The sequence below is a fragment of the Homo sapiens genome, chromosome 9 (genome assembly GCF_000001405.40).
Source record: "Homo sapiens chromosome 9, GRCh38.p14 Primary Assembly".
Classification (NCBI taxonomy): domain Eukaryota; kingdom Metazoa; phylum Chordata; class Mammalia; order Primates; family Hominidae; genus Homo; species Homo sapiens.
This window is the reverse complement of record NC_000009.12, coordinates 112713833-112727305: the sequence shown is the minus strand read 5'-3', so window position 1 is coordinate 112727305 and position 13473 is coordinate 112713833. Positions and strand designations below refer to the sequence as shown.

At 43.6% G+C, this 13473-nt stretch overlaps 1 protein-coding gene across 10 annotated transcripts in view, besides 4 other annotated features; it reads left to right on the top strand.

Moving 5' to 3' along the window:
* Positions 734 to 783: an enhancer, noted in NCBI's record as "active region_28828". NCBI's record gives its function as "activates an Ori minimal core promoter by ATAC-STARR-seq in GM12878 lymphoblastoid cells {active_cell/tissue: GM12878}" and the evidence as "EXISTENCE:reporter gene assay evidence [ECO:0000049][PMID:35858748]".
* Positions 1394 to 1533: an enhancer, noted in NCBI's record as "active region_28827". NCBI's record gives its function as "activates an Ori minimal core promoter by ATAC-STARR-seq in GM12878 lymphoblastoid cells {active_cell/tissue: GM12878}" and the evidence as "EXISTENCE:reporter gene assay evidence [ECO:0000049][PMID:35858748]".
* Positions 8978 to 9137: a silencer, noted in NCBI's record as "silent region_20194". NCBI's record gives its function as "represses an Ori minimal core promoter by ATAC-STARR-seq in GM12878 lymphoblastoid cells {active_cell/tissue: GM12878}" and the evidence as "EXISTENCE:reporter gene assay evidence [ECO:0000049][PMID:35858748]".
* The window catches only part of INIP (INTS3 and NABP interacting protein), a 34192-nt gene continuing 29907 nt past the window's right edge, over positions 9189 to 13473 (top strand). For 7 of the 10 annotated variants that reach the window (NR_138054.2, NR_138055.2, NM_001329587.2 and 4 more), the window contains exons 1-2: positions 9189 to 9319; positions 10765 to 10845. Coding sequence is in view for 3 of the 10 variants with exons in the window: in NM_001329587.2 (NP_001316516.1) it covers positions 10821 to 10845 (25 nt within the window). In the remaining 7 variants the exon portion in view is untranslated. The remainder of the gene's footprint in view (positions 9320 to 10764; positions 10846 to 13473) is intronic. The other 3 variants (NR_138056.2, NM_001329589.2, NM_001329590.2) reach the window with 1 other exon arrangement.
* Positions 9508 to 9607: an enhancer, noted in NCBI's record as "active region_28826". NCBI's record gives its function as "activates an Ori minimal core promoter by ATAC-STARR-seq in GM12878 lymphoblastoid cells {active_cell/tissue: GM12878}" and the evidence as "EXISTENCE:reporter gene assay evidence [ECO:0000049][PMID:35858748]".

The following is a 13473-nucleotide window of genomic DNA, read 5'->3' as shown; positions in this document are numbered from 1 at the left end:
TGTAACAAAGACCTAAAAATGTGGAAGTGGCTTTCAACAGTTTTGAAGTGAATGCTGAAGAAAAAGCTTGTATTGCCATGAACAGAGCCTTAAGAGTGACTCTGGTGAGGGTTTAGAAGAAGGGGAGAGCTGTAGGAGAGTCTGAATCTTATAAAATATTATTTAAGTTGTTGTGAACAGAACGTTGGTAAAAATACGGATGTGAAGGCCACTCAGATGAAGTCTCAGATGGAAATGAGGAACAAAGTATTGGAAACTGGAGGAAAGGTCATCCTTGTTACAACACGGCAAAGAACTTGGCTGAATTATATTTGTGTCCCAGGACTTCATGGAAGGCAGAACTTAAGAGTGATGAGGCCAGGCATGGTAGCTCACACCTGTAATCCCAGCACTTTGGGAGGCCAAGGCAGGTGGATCAACTGAGGTCAGGAGTTCGAGACCAGCCCGGCCAACATGGTGAAACCCCTTCTCTACTAAAAATTCAAAAATTAGCTGGGCATGGTGGTGGGCACCTATAATCGCAGCTACTTGGGAGGCTGAAGCAGGAGAATCGCTTGAACCTCGGAGGCAGAGGTTGCAGTGAGCCGAGATAACACCATTGCACTCCAGCCTGGGCAACAAGAGTGAAACTCCATCTCAAAAACAAAAAAGGAAGTGATGAACTACAATATTTGGCAGAAGAAATATCTATGCAGCAGAGCATTCATTTCAGGGTGCTGTGTGGCTTCTCTTAACTGTTTATAGTAAAATGCAAGAAGACAGAAACAATTTAAAAATGGAATTTATCATCAAAAGGGAAGTATAATATAAAGATAGGGAAAATTCTCAGCCTGGCCAAGTAAAGAATAAAAAAATATATTTAGGAGAAAAAAAACCAAGGATGTGGCCAAGCTACCTTTGGTAACAAGATTAGTAGGAACAGAAAGGAGCCAGGTGCTATTCATCAAGACAATGGGAGAATCACCCTGAAAGCATTGCTGATAATTTTTAGGCTGCTCCTCCCACCATAAGCCCAGAGTGCTAGGACACTGAGGGCCGAAGAGTTTGGGGAGAAGGCCTGGGGAACCCATACGGGCTGAAGGCTCACTGTGCAGAGTTTCAGATGCAGTACTTTTTGCTGCCCCAGCTGTAGCTCAAGTGGGCCCAGGTGTGGCTCAGGCCACTGCTCCAGGCCACTCAAGCAGTAAGCCTTGCTGGTGTCCACGTGGTGCTAATTGTACAGGAGTGCAGAGTGCAAGAACTGTGGTGGCAGGGCTTCCTTCATCCTGATTTCAAAGGCTGCCTTAGAGAGCCCAGGGACCCAGGCAGACACCTGCCCCAGCAGCAGAGCCATGCTGGAAGCCATGTGGCAGAGAGTACCCACTAGGGCAATGCCTAGTGGGAGTGAGGCCACCCCAAGACCCCAGAACTGTAGAGCCACTAGTATGCAGTGTCAGCCTGTGAGAGCCACAGGCATGCTATTTCAATGCATAAGGGCTGAAGCATGGGCTGTGCCCAGGAAAGCCATGGGGGCAGGCCTGCCCAGGGCCTTGGGCACCCAAACCCCACTCCAGTGTGTCCAGGTGGTGGGACATGGTGTCAACAAAGATTATTCCCAAGCCTTAAGATTTAATGTTGTTTGCCCTGTTGGGTTTTGGACTTACTTGGGGCCTGTTGATCTTTTCTTCTTTCCTATTTCTCCCTTTTGGGAAGGGAATGTCTATCCTATTATCTGTTCCATCATCATATTTTGGAAGTAAATAACTTGTTTGATTTCACAGGATCACAGCTGGAGGGAAATTTACCTCAAGATGAATTATACTTTGAGTCTCACCCATATGTGATTTAGGTGAGACTCCGGATTTTATTTTATTTCATTTTATTTTTAGATGGAATTTTGCTCTTGTTGCCCAGGCCGGAGTGCAATGGCACGATCTCGGCTCACCGCAACCTCCACCTCCCGGGTTCAAGCGATTTTCCTGCCTCAGCCTCCCTAGTAACTGGGATTACAGCCATGCACCACCACGCCCGGCTAATTTTGTATTTTTAGTAGACACGGGGTTTCTCCATGTTAGGCGGGCGGGTCTCGAAGTCCCCACCTCAGATAATCCACCTGCCATGGCCTCTCAAAGTGATGGGATTACAGGCATGAGCCACCGCACCCAGCCGAGACTCTGGACTTAAACTTTTGGGTTAGCGCTGGAATGAGTTATGACTTGGGGCTACTGGGATGGAATAAATGTATTTTGTATGTGAGAAGGACATGAATTATGGGGGATCAGGGGAAGAATGCTATGGTATGAATGTTTTCATTCCCTCCAAAAATTCATGTTAAAACTGAATCCCGGCTAGGCGTGGTGGCTCATGCCTGTAATCCCAGCACTTTGGGAGGCCGAGGTGGGCAGATCATGTGAGGTCAGGAGTTTGAGACCAGCCTGGCCAACATGGTGAAACCCCTTCTCTACTAAAAATACAGAATTTAGCCAGATGTGGTAGTGAATGGATGAATGCCATTATAAAAATGGCTTGTGGGCCAGGCGTGGTGGCTCACTCCTGTAATCCCAGCACTTTTGAGAGGCTGAGGCAGGCGGATCACAAGGTCAGGAGATCGAGGCCATCTTGGCCAACACAGTGAAACACAATCTGTACTAAAAATACAAAAAAATTAGCTGGGTGTGGTGGTGCCAGCCTATAATCCCAGCTACTCGGGAGGCCGAGGCAGGAGAATTGCTTGAACCCAGGAGGCAGAGATTGCAGTGAGCTGAGATCGCGCCACTGCACTCCAGCCTGGCGACAGAGCAAGACTCCGTCAAAAAAAAAAAAAAAAAAAAAAAAAGGCTTCTGGGAGCAAGCCCTTGCTCTCTTCTGCTCTTCTGCTATATGAGTACACAGTTTCATTCCTTCTTGTCCTTCTGCCACGAGGATGCAGCAAGAAAGAAAGCTCTTGCCAGATGCTGGCATCTTGATCTTGTACTTCCAGCCTCCAGACCATGAGAAATAAATTTCTGTTCTTTATAAAATTAGGCAGTCTTGGCTATACTGTTATAGCAGCACAAAACAGATTAAGACACAGTGGGAACCCACAATGCATTACTTGACTAAAAGATTAGATCAGCTTTTTATTTTTGATACGGAGTCTCGTTGTGTCGCCAGGCTGGAGTGTAGTGGCGTGATCTTGGCTGAATGCAACCTCCACCTCCTGTGTTCAAGCGATTCTCCCACCTCAGCCGTCCGAGTAGCTGGGACAACAGGTACGCACCACCACGTCCAGCTAATTTTTGTATTTTTAGTAGAGACAGGGTTTCACCATGTTGGCCAGGCTGGTCTTGAACTCCTGACCTCAGGTGATCCACCTGCCTCAGCCTCCCAAAGTGCTGGGATTACAGGTGTGAGCCACTGTGCCCGGCCTAGATCAGCTTTTAAAGCAGTGAAAAAGCAAAAGTGGGATTCTGGCCTGCACAATCCAAAGCATCCCCTAGACAAGGACAGATCATTTTGTTTGTATTTTCAGTGCCTGACATAGCATTGTTTATTGAATAAATGAATGAAAGGGCACATTTCAGCTTTAATTAGGTTTACATTAAAGACCAATCATCAGGTATACCTGCTTAGCACTCTTCTAGGTACTTTGAGGATACTAAAACATTATTGGCAACCTGGTCCCTTAGAAGTGACCAAATTAGAAGTAGATGACATAAAGGATTACACTTCACTCCTGCAGCCATTTTCCACAAGCAGCTTAGTGCAGTTTAGTGAGTCCTTTTCATAGTTCATTGAAAACACTAGGGTTTGATCTATTTACTTATTTATTTATTATTAATATTCATTTATTTATGAGTTGCGGTTTTGCTCTGTCACCTGGGCTGGAGTGCATTGGCACAAACATAGCTCATTGCAGCCTTGAATTCCTGGGCCCAAGCTATCCTCCCACCTCAGCCTCTCTAGCACAGATGGGATGACAGGCCCCCGCCACCATACCCAGCTATTTTTTTAGTTTTTGTAGAGACATGTTCTCGCTGTGTTGAGTAGGCTAAGTATTGAACTCCTGGTCTCAAGTGATCCTCCCACCTTGGTCTCCTAAAGCATTGGGATTATAGGCGTGAACCGCTGTGCCCAGTCCCAATCTATTTAATGAAAAAAAAAAACAGTGGCAAAATAAAATACTTTTCTTTTCTCTTTTTTTAATCTTTAAACATATTTTTAACATTTTGTAGAGACAGGATCTTGCCTTGTTGCCTAGGCTGGTCCTGAACTCCTGGCTTCAAGGGATCTTTTCATCTCAGCCTCCCAGGGATTACAGGTGTTAGCCACTGTACCCAGCGAAAACCCTTACTTTTTATTTAATTTAATTTAATTTAATTTATTTATTTATTTATTTATTTATTTATTTATTTATTTTGAGACAGAGTCTCACTCTGTTGCTCAGGCTGGAGTCCAGTGGTGCAATATCAGCTCACTGCAACCTTTGCCTCCTGAGTTCCATCAATTCTCGTGCCTCAGCCTCCCAAGTAGCTGGGACCACAGGCATACACCACCACACCCGGATAATTTTTGTATTTTTAGTAGAGATGGGGTTTCGCCATGTTATCCAGGCTGGTCTCGAACTCCTGGCCTCAAGTGATCCACCCCCCTCAGCCTCAAAACAACATTCCCCCAAAGTTGCTAGAAGTCTTCCTTCCATGATAAGTAAGTTCCTCTTCACTGTACCATTAGACCATCTGTCTACCTCCTGATTTAACTAAAACCCACTTCTCCTTCAAGGATAGCTTCCCTTGTGTTCATGTAAGGTGGAAAATCCTCTTGTGTCCAACCACATACATCATGGCATGGGGTTAGGGGAAGGGTGCTTCAGTATTTCCAGAATCCACACTCTCAATTCCAAACTATACATCTTCCTCCATCATGTAAAAACTCCAAATCTTTAGAAGCAGGTACATCTGGTTATACCATCTTTATCCTCTTCTCATTGCTGTCATCTACTGACATATTCATGGAGGACTTTGGCCCCTGGCTCAGTCTTTCTTCTTATCATTCTAGATAATATCATTGCCCATGTGGAGAATTCATTCTAAATGAATCCTACCATCTCCCTTAATTAGATAATCCTCCAAGGCTAATAATGGTCAGAAATCTTCTGCATAGAAGGTAGTGGTACAGAGAGGGGTAAAAGGCATTGTGGTGTTTTTTACATTTTATTTTAGAACTTTTTTTTTTTTTTGAGACAAGAGTTTCCCTCTTGTTGCCCAGGCTGGAGTACAATGGTGCAATCTTGGCTCACCGAAACCTCCGACTCCTGGGTTCAAGCAATTCTCCTGCCTCAGACTCCTGAGTAGCTGGGTTACGGGTATGTGTCACCACGCCTGGCTAATTTTGCATTTTTAGTAGAGATGGGGTTTCTCCATGTTGGTCAGGCTGGTCTCGAACTCCCGACCTCAGGTGATTTGCTTGCCTCAGCCTCCCAAAGTGCTGGGATTACAGGTGTGAGTCACCGTGCCCGGCCTATTTTAGAACATTCTTGAATGTTTATTTTTAAAAAGGCTAGTCTGGACGGGCGCGGTGCTTCACACCTGTAATCCCAGCACTTTGCCGGGCCAAGGTGGGCAGGTCACGAGGTCAGGAGTTCGAGATCAGCCTAGCCAACATAGTGAAACCCCGTTTCTACTAAAAATGCAAAAATTAGCTGGGTGTGGTGGCATGTGCCTGTAGTCGCAGCTACTTGGGAGGCTGAGGCGGGAGAATCGCTTGAACCCGGAGGCAGAGGTTGCAGTGAGCCAAGACCACACTACTGCACTCCAGCCTGGGTGACAGAGTGAGACTCTGTCTCAAAAACCAACAAAAACAACTACAAACAAGCCATATTTACTATCCTACATAGTTTCTGTGGATTAGAAATTTGTGAACAGCTTAGCTCGGTGGTTCTGGCTCAGGATTGCTTTCGAGGCTGCAATCAAGATGTCAGCCAGAGCTGCAGTCATCTGAAGGCCTGCCTGGGGCTGGAAGATCCACTTCCAAGGTGGAACACTACTTGACTGGCAACTTGGTGCTGGTTTGTTGGTGGAAGGCTTGCCTCAGTTCCTCTTTATTGGGCTCTCCAAATGGACTGCTTTAGTGACCTCATGACATATACATGGCTTCCTTAGAGCAAGTGACCCAAAAGAGGCCAAGGTAGCAACTGCAATCAGTGTCACATACTGACACTTCCACAATATCCCATTGGTTACTTGGGTCAAGTTTATTCAATGTGGGAAGGGATGACAACAGGAGGGCCATCTTGGAGGCCACCACATTTGGTTGTACAAAATCTTCATGATGTTTCATATTGTTTTAATACTCTAATGAGTTAATGTTTAATAGAAAATAATAGCTTATAGGTATGAGGCATCTGGTTTGATTTTATTTAATCTTTAAAACAATGGCATAAGGTAGGTGCTTTTAATACCCCTTTCCACAGATAAGGAGGTTGAGGAACAGACAAATAACTTGTCTAAGTGTTCACCCAGTAAGTGCAGGGCCAGGTTCTAAACCCAAGTTCTAAACTGCCAAGATTCAGGGTAATTTGTTACACAGCAATAGATAACTAATACAGTAATTGTCTCAAACTGCTACACACTTGATTTTAAAGGTTGTCTAGCCTCATGCAGATCCCCAAATACTTTATCACAAAATACCAGAAAAGGAGGTTAGAGTGGTTTCAGTTGGAAATTAGGAACTACTGTCAACTCTACCTTGATACTGAAGGTCTGTAACCACAGTGGTTTCAGGATAAAGTAATTCACAGACAGCTATCAGTTAATAGAGCCAAGGGGCTATAACATGCACTCCTTCTGTCTTGGACTTTCCCCTAGTATATTTCTCAGCTGACGTTTTTTTTCTTTTTTTTTTTTCTTTTTCTTTTTTTTTTTTTTTTTTTTGGAGACAGGGTCTATTGCTCTGTTGCCCTGGCTGGACTGCAGTGGCGCAATCATAGCTCACTGTAGCCTTGACCTCCCGGGCTCAAGCAATCCTCCTACCTCAGCCTCCTAAGTAGCTGGGACCACAGGCACCCACCACCGTACCTGGCAAATTTTTTAGATTTTTTTCTAGAGATGAGGTCTCACTATATTGCCCAGGCTGGTCTCAAGCAATCCTCCTGCCTTGGCCTCCCAAAGTGCTGTGATTACAGGCATGAGCCACCACACCCAGGCTCAGCTGATCTACTGACCACTTGCCAAGACACCCAGTAAAACAGATTGTTCATTGTTTATATTCTAATAGTCAACATTTATTGAGTTCTTATTATGTGCCAGGTGCTATTCTAAGTGATTTACGTATACCCAATCACTTATTTTTATTCCCATTTTATAGATGACAAAACAGAGGCACCAAAAGGTTAAACCAGGGCTCACCATCATTAAGTGGCAAAGCTCGAATTTGCATTCAAGTAAACTGACTCACTATTAACCACTGTGTTAGAGGTTAACACAATGAGGCAGAAGTTCCAAAAACTCTAGGAGAAGACAGAAGGGTTTCAAGGGCTATGACCTACCAAGTAAAAGGCAAAAGAATTGGCAGCAAGTTAAATTTATCTTTCTCCTGATAATGTTCTTTCAACTCTCAGAGGCTGAATTTGCTAAGAAATTATAAAATGTTGTTTAGGGTTAGAACTGTTTTTACTCCCACCTCCTTAAATAAGCTTTGTTCAGAATGTCCATTTGAAACTTAGACTGGAACTTTCTGTGCCCTAGTTTCTATATTAGCTAGGCCACAAAACAAAAAAAAATTCTAAGGTTCTATCAGCCATATAGATCTCAGTCATCTTTTTAGTCATACTAGAACTCACCAAGTCCTCTTAACTGAAAGGACTCCTGGCCTACCATCAAAATGCTCATGTGTTAGGCTTTATATCTGGATTAAAGTCAAGTCAGCAAGAACTGGTCTCAGAGGAATTCATTCCTCCAGAGCAGAGGCAATGTGTGAGATTTAAGAACTCAGGCCTTAGCATCTGGCAGATCTTTAAATTTGAATCTTAGCTCGCTACTTGACATAGAGCAAGAAACATGAGTCTCAAATATAAATCAGGGAACAGCAGGACCAGAGCTGATGCACAGGAAGCACCTCGCATTGTAGAAGGCACTCAATAGCTGCTTGGTATAGAGTAAATACATGCTTGGTTTTCAGTAAATAAATACTTGATATTGAAACGATTATTTCAGTCATTGATCCATGCACAAGAAAATTGTGCATCATAAACATTTTACTCTTGAGCAAACATCAATTATTAAAAACATATGTTCAAATTCATTATCCATTCTATTTAATTAAATGCTTGAGGCGCTTGGGGAGCTTACATTTGTGATTTAAGTCTGTGCGTTTTTCAAATGTATCTTTCGGAAGAGATTAAGACACTGCAATTTTAAGCAGGGCAGGTGGCTCACGCCTGTAATCCCAGCACTTTGGGAGGCTGAGGTGGGCAGATCCCTTGAGGCCAGGAGTTCAAGACCAGCCTGGGCAACAAAGCGAGACACTGTCACCATAAAAAATATTTTTTTAAATTAAAAAGAGTGCAATTTGAACACATGTCAATATACGATTACCTTTTAATTCAAATGTGTAGCTATCTACTGTGCTGGAATCAGGTGGGCAGCAGGTGATCCCACTAGTGGCAACTTGGTGTTCTGCGATGTGGCACATCCACTTCTTAAATGCAGATTATTGCACTGTAATAAAAATCCTCCATATTCAGTGCTTTCATTGTGTATAATTATGTAAACTGTAGACAAAAAATATTCCTGAATTTGTGTGTGTGTGTGTGTGTGTGTGTGTGTGTGTGCGGATGCGCAATCCGAGATGGTTGTTAAAGCTCGAAAGCGAGTTTAGCTTCTAGAGTCGCCCCTCCTCCGAGGCCCAGCCGAGGTGGACTCGCACCGTCGCAAGACCGGCCAGGCGGTGGCAATGAATAAAAAGCCAGTCTTGGTGCTAGGGACCCAGGTGTTCTCCGTCCCGCCCCTGCCTGGCAGCCCCGCCCCTCCCCCGCCCCGGGCCACGCCCCACCCTGGCCCAGCCCCCAAAAGTACCGTTTGCATCTCCCGTGAGCCTCTTCGACTGTCACTCTTTGGAAAAAAAAGTGACGTCTGCACTGAGGTGGCCGCTAAAGTGCGAATCACGACGGGCGGTGGCCGTTGGGTCCCGGCGGGAGGCGGGGTTTCCGCTCCCTGGGGCGCACGTCAGTCAGGAGGCGGAAGCGCAGCGGGGGCGGGAAGGTTGTAGTGCCGCGAGTTGAGCTCCTCTTGCCTAAGTGGTCGCGCCCCCTTTAAGAGCAGCGATTGTAAGGAGAGGCGGTCCCGGTGTCCTCGGGTCCCAGGTAAGTACGACAGTCTGGAGGCACCGGGCAATAGAAAAGTGTGGCTCCGGTGCTAACCTGTCGCCGCCGTCTTTGTTGCTACAGGCAGCGACCTCCCTTCCGACCTTGCCACCTAACATTTCTGGCTCCTACTTGCTTCCTTCGTCTCGTTCACAGCCCGGGCCCAGCCGGCTCTGCACATCCGTAGGCAGGGACCTTTCTGGCACGCCAGTCTACCCTGTCACAAGATGGCCCTGTTGTCCTCCAGTCCTAACCCCGCATTGCTCGCTCTGTGTTTCAGCCGCTGGAGACACCTAACGATTCATTTACTAAAAACCGGTGTCTGTTTTCTATCCCTTGTGTCTTTCCCGGGCTCCCTAGACTAAGGCATCACTCTTTGCTGCCAATGAAATCAATTCTTTGCCTCCGGCACTGTGCCCACCTTTTAAAGAGCGGGTTTGTTAAGCTTTTTTTTTTTTTAATTAATAGTATGGTTGCTTGAATAAGACTTTATTTTCCCTTCTGAAAGCAGGATTAGGGTCTTGCTCATCTTGGATCTCCCCAGGATTTAGTACGAAAGCACGAAGTTTGGAAACCAGCAGCCCAAATAATTCCTACTAGCTCTATGACCCTGGGTACGGTTTCCTCATCTATAAAATGGTGATAAATAAATAAAGGAACTAATTTCGAGCATGTTACACAGTGTATGGTGCAGAGCAGATACAGTACTCCTTTACCTTTTTTAGCTTTCAGTGTACACAGTAGTTTTTGGGTATGTGTTTTAGACGAATGCAGAGACACCATAGATGAATGATTTTTCTTCCTAGCACCATGATTATATTGACTCTATCAATTGGTTGATATATTTGGTAAATACAACCTAATGACGTTTATTAAAGACAGTAATGCTAAATGGTATGAACATCTGCAAGAATAAACAATGCCGTATTTAATTAAATGCTTGAGGCACTAGCAGAGTTTACATTTGTTTCAGTCTGTGTACATTTCAAATGTATCTTTCTTTCTTTTCTTTTTTTTTTTTTTTGAGACCGAGTCTCGCTGTCTCGCTCTGTGGCCCAAACTGGAGTGCAGTGGCGCGATCTCGGCTCACTGCAACCTCCGCCACCCGGGTTCAAGTGATTCTCCCGTCTCGCCCTCCCGAGTAGCTGGGACTGCAGGCGCTTGCCACCACACCCGGCTGATTTTTTTTTTTAATTTTATTTTTAGTAGAGACTGGGTTTCACCATGTTAGCCAGGATGGTCTCGATCTGCTGACCTCGTGATCCGCCCGCCTCGGCCTCCCAAAGTGCTGGGATTACAGGCGTGAGCCACCGCGCCCGGCACAAATGTATCTTTCTGAAGAGATTAAGAAACAGCAAACATTTCATTGTAAGGAGGCTAGCTGTTCCTTTTAGTTTGTGATTAAAATATGGTGCATTGTATATGTGTGTACACATATTTTATAGGTGATTGTGAAGTGCTGACCAATTGCCACTGGACATACTTGAAACAAAATAGGAAAATGGCAGCAAACTCTTCAGGACAAGGTAATGACAGCAGGAATTTCTTTACTATGAACATTTCCCCAATATAGTAAATGTATTTGAATAAGAGAAAATTTAGCATAGGGCAGTTACTGTAGCCAGAATTTAAAAAATGAATAGCAGGCCGGGAGCGGTGGCTCACGCCTGTAATCCCAGTACTTTGGGAGGCCAAGTCGGGTGGACTGCTTGAGGTCAGGAACCCCGTCTCTACTAAAATACAAAAATTAGCTGGGCATGGTGGCGGGCACCTGTAATCCCAGCTACTAGGGAGGCTGAGGCAGGAGAATTTCTTGAACCCAGGAGGCGGAGGTTGCAGTGAGCCGAGATTGCACCACTGCACTGCAGCCTGGGCGACAGAGTGAGACTCCGTCTCAAAAAAAAGAAAAAGAAAAAAAGAAGAACATCAAAGTAAAACTCTAAATTTGAAATACACTTGTGCTGAATAATGATGTTTAGGTCAATGACAGACTGCTTATAGGATGGTGGTCCCATAAGATGGTAATGGAGCTGAAAAATTTCAATCGCCTAAGTGACATCTTGATAATCCTGACCCTGTGTAAGCCTAGGCTAATGTGTTTGTTTGTGTCTTCATTTTTAACAAGAAGTTTAAAAAGTAAAAAAAATTAAAAATTTTAAAAATAGAAAACTTTTAGAATAAAGATATAAATAAAATACTTTTTTTTTTTTTTTGAGATGGAATTTCGCTCTTGTTGCCCAGGCTGGAGTGCAATGGCATGATCTTGGCTCACTGCAACCTCTGCCTCCCAGGTTCAAGCAATCCTCCTGCCTCAACCTCCCGAGTAGCTGGGATTACAGGCACACGCCATCACGCTCAGCTAATTTTGTATTTTTAGTAGAGACTGGGTTTTTCCATGTTGGTCAGGCTGGTCTCAAACTCCTGACCTCAGGTGATCCGCCCGCCTTGGCCTCCCAAAGTGCTGGGATTACAGGCATGAGCCACTGTGCCTGGCCCAGTGTTTTGTGTTTTAAGCTAAGTGTTATTACAAAAGTCAAAAAGTTAAAAAAATTTAAAAGTTTATAAAGTAAAGTTACAGTAAGCTAAGGTTAATGTATTATTGAAGAAAGAAAAATTGAATAAATTTAGTGCAGCCTAAGTGTACAGTGTTTATAAGTATACAGTACTATATAGTAATGTCCTAGACTTTCACATTCACTCACAACTCACTCACTGACTCACCCAGAGCAGCTTCAGTCCTGAAAGCTCCATGCATCCATGCATGGTAAATGCCCTATACAGGTATACCATTTTTTGTCTTTTAAACCGTGTGTGTGTGTGTGTGTGTGTGTGTGTGTGTGTGTGTGTGTGTGTATGTATGTATGTATGTGTGTATTTTAAGATCTCAATTGGCTTTATTTGTGATTCTAGAATCAGGCAACACTTCATTTCATAAAATAGAATAAGTGTTCCCTAAACCATATTTTTACTGTACCTTTTCTATGTTGAGATACACAAATATTTAGCATTGTATTACAGTTGCCTACACTATTCAGTACAGTAACATGCTGTACACGTTTGTAGCCTTGGAGCAACAGACTGTACCGTACAGCCTAGGTTGTGTAGTAGGCTATACCATCTGTGTTTGTGTAAGTACACTCTGATGTTTGCATAACACAAAATCACCTAACAATGAATTTCTCAGAATGTATCCCTGTTGTTAAGCAACATATGATGGTAGATCTGACATTGGATCAGATATACAACATCCTTTATATTATTAATCTTATATTTTAATCTATTTTAAGATTATTTACATTGAAATTGTATTCACATTATTCACCTTATGGCCTCTTCTGACATCTATGTTCGCTTGCTCTTTTACTTGAAATCAGAACCACTTTTAAAGAAGTTTTATTGTCATCACACATTATCTGTGCCTTTATCTTCATTGCTGTAAAAACTTTTGTACACATTTCACCTGTGTTAAGATAGCTCCAAAACAAATCAAGTCAGACACATTTGCTGCTATCAAGGAGTTTTTATTTTAAAATTTGTATAAAAGTAAAATTTACTCTCTATAAAGTATTGAATCTCACTTGGCAAGTAGTTAACCACTTAACTACTTGAAGGACGCCTCTATTTCCGTTCTGTATCAAGTCTGAATTCCTGTTTGACTCTATGTATGTTTGACCCATCTTCATATTTTTAAATTACTCATCTCTGTTCTGATTTTTTTAATCTTGGTTTTGTCTTAAACTTATGGACTCTTAAAGTGTATACTCATTTGGTCCAGCTTCTTTCATTGACCATACTGTCTGTGAGATTCATCCATATTGTGCATGGATCAGTAGTTCATTCCTTGTTATTGTGGGGTAGTATTCCATGGTATGACTTTATCACATTTTGTTTATTCATTCTTCTGTTTGTAAACTTTGGGGTTGTCTCAGTTTTGGCTGTTGTGAATAAAGCTGCTATGAGCATTTATAAGTCTCTTTTGCAGGTACTTTTTTTTTTTTTTTTGAGATGGAGTTTTGCTCTTGTTGCCCAAGCTGGAGTGCAATAGCGTGATCTCAGCTCACTGCAACCTCCACCTCCTGGGTTCAAGCGATTCTCCTGCCTCAGCCTCCTGAGTAGCTGGGATTACAGGCGCGTGCCACTGCGCCTGGCTAATT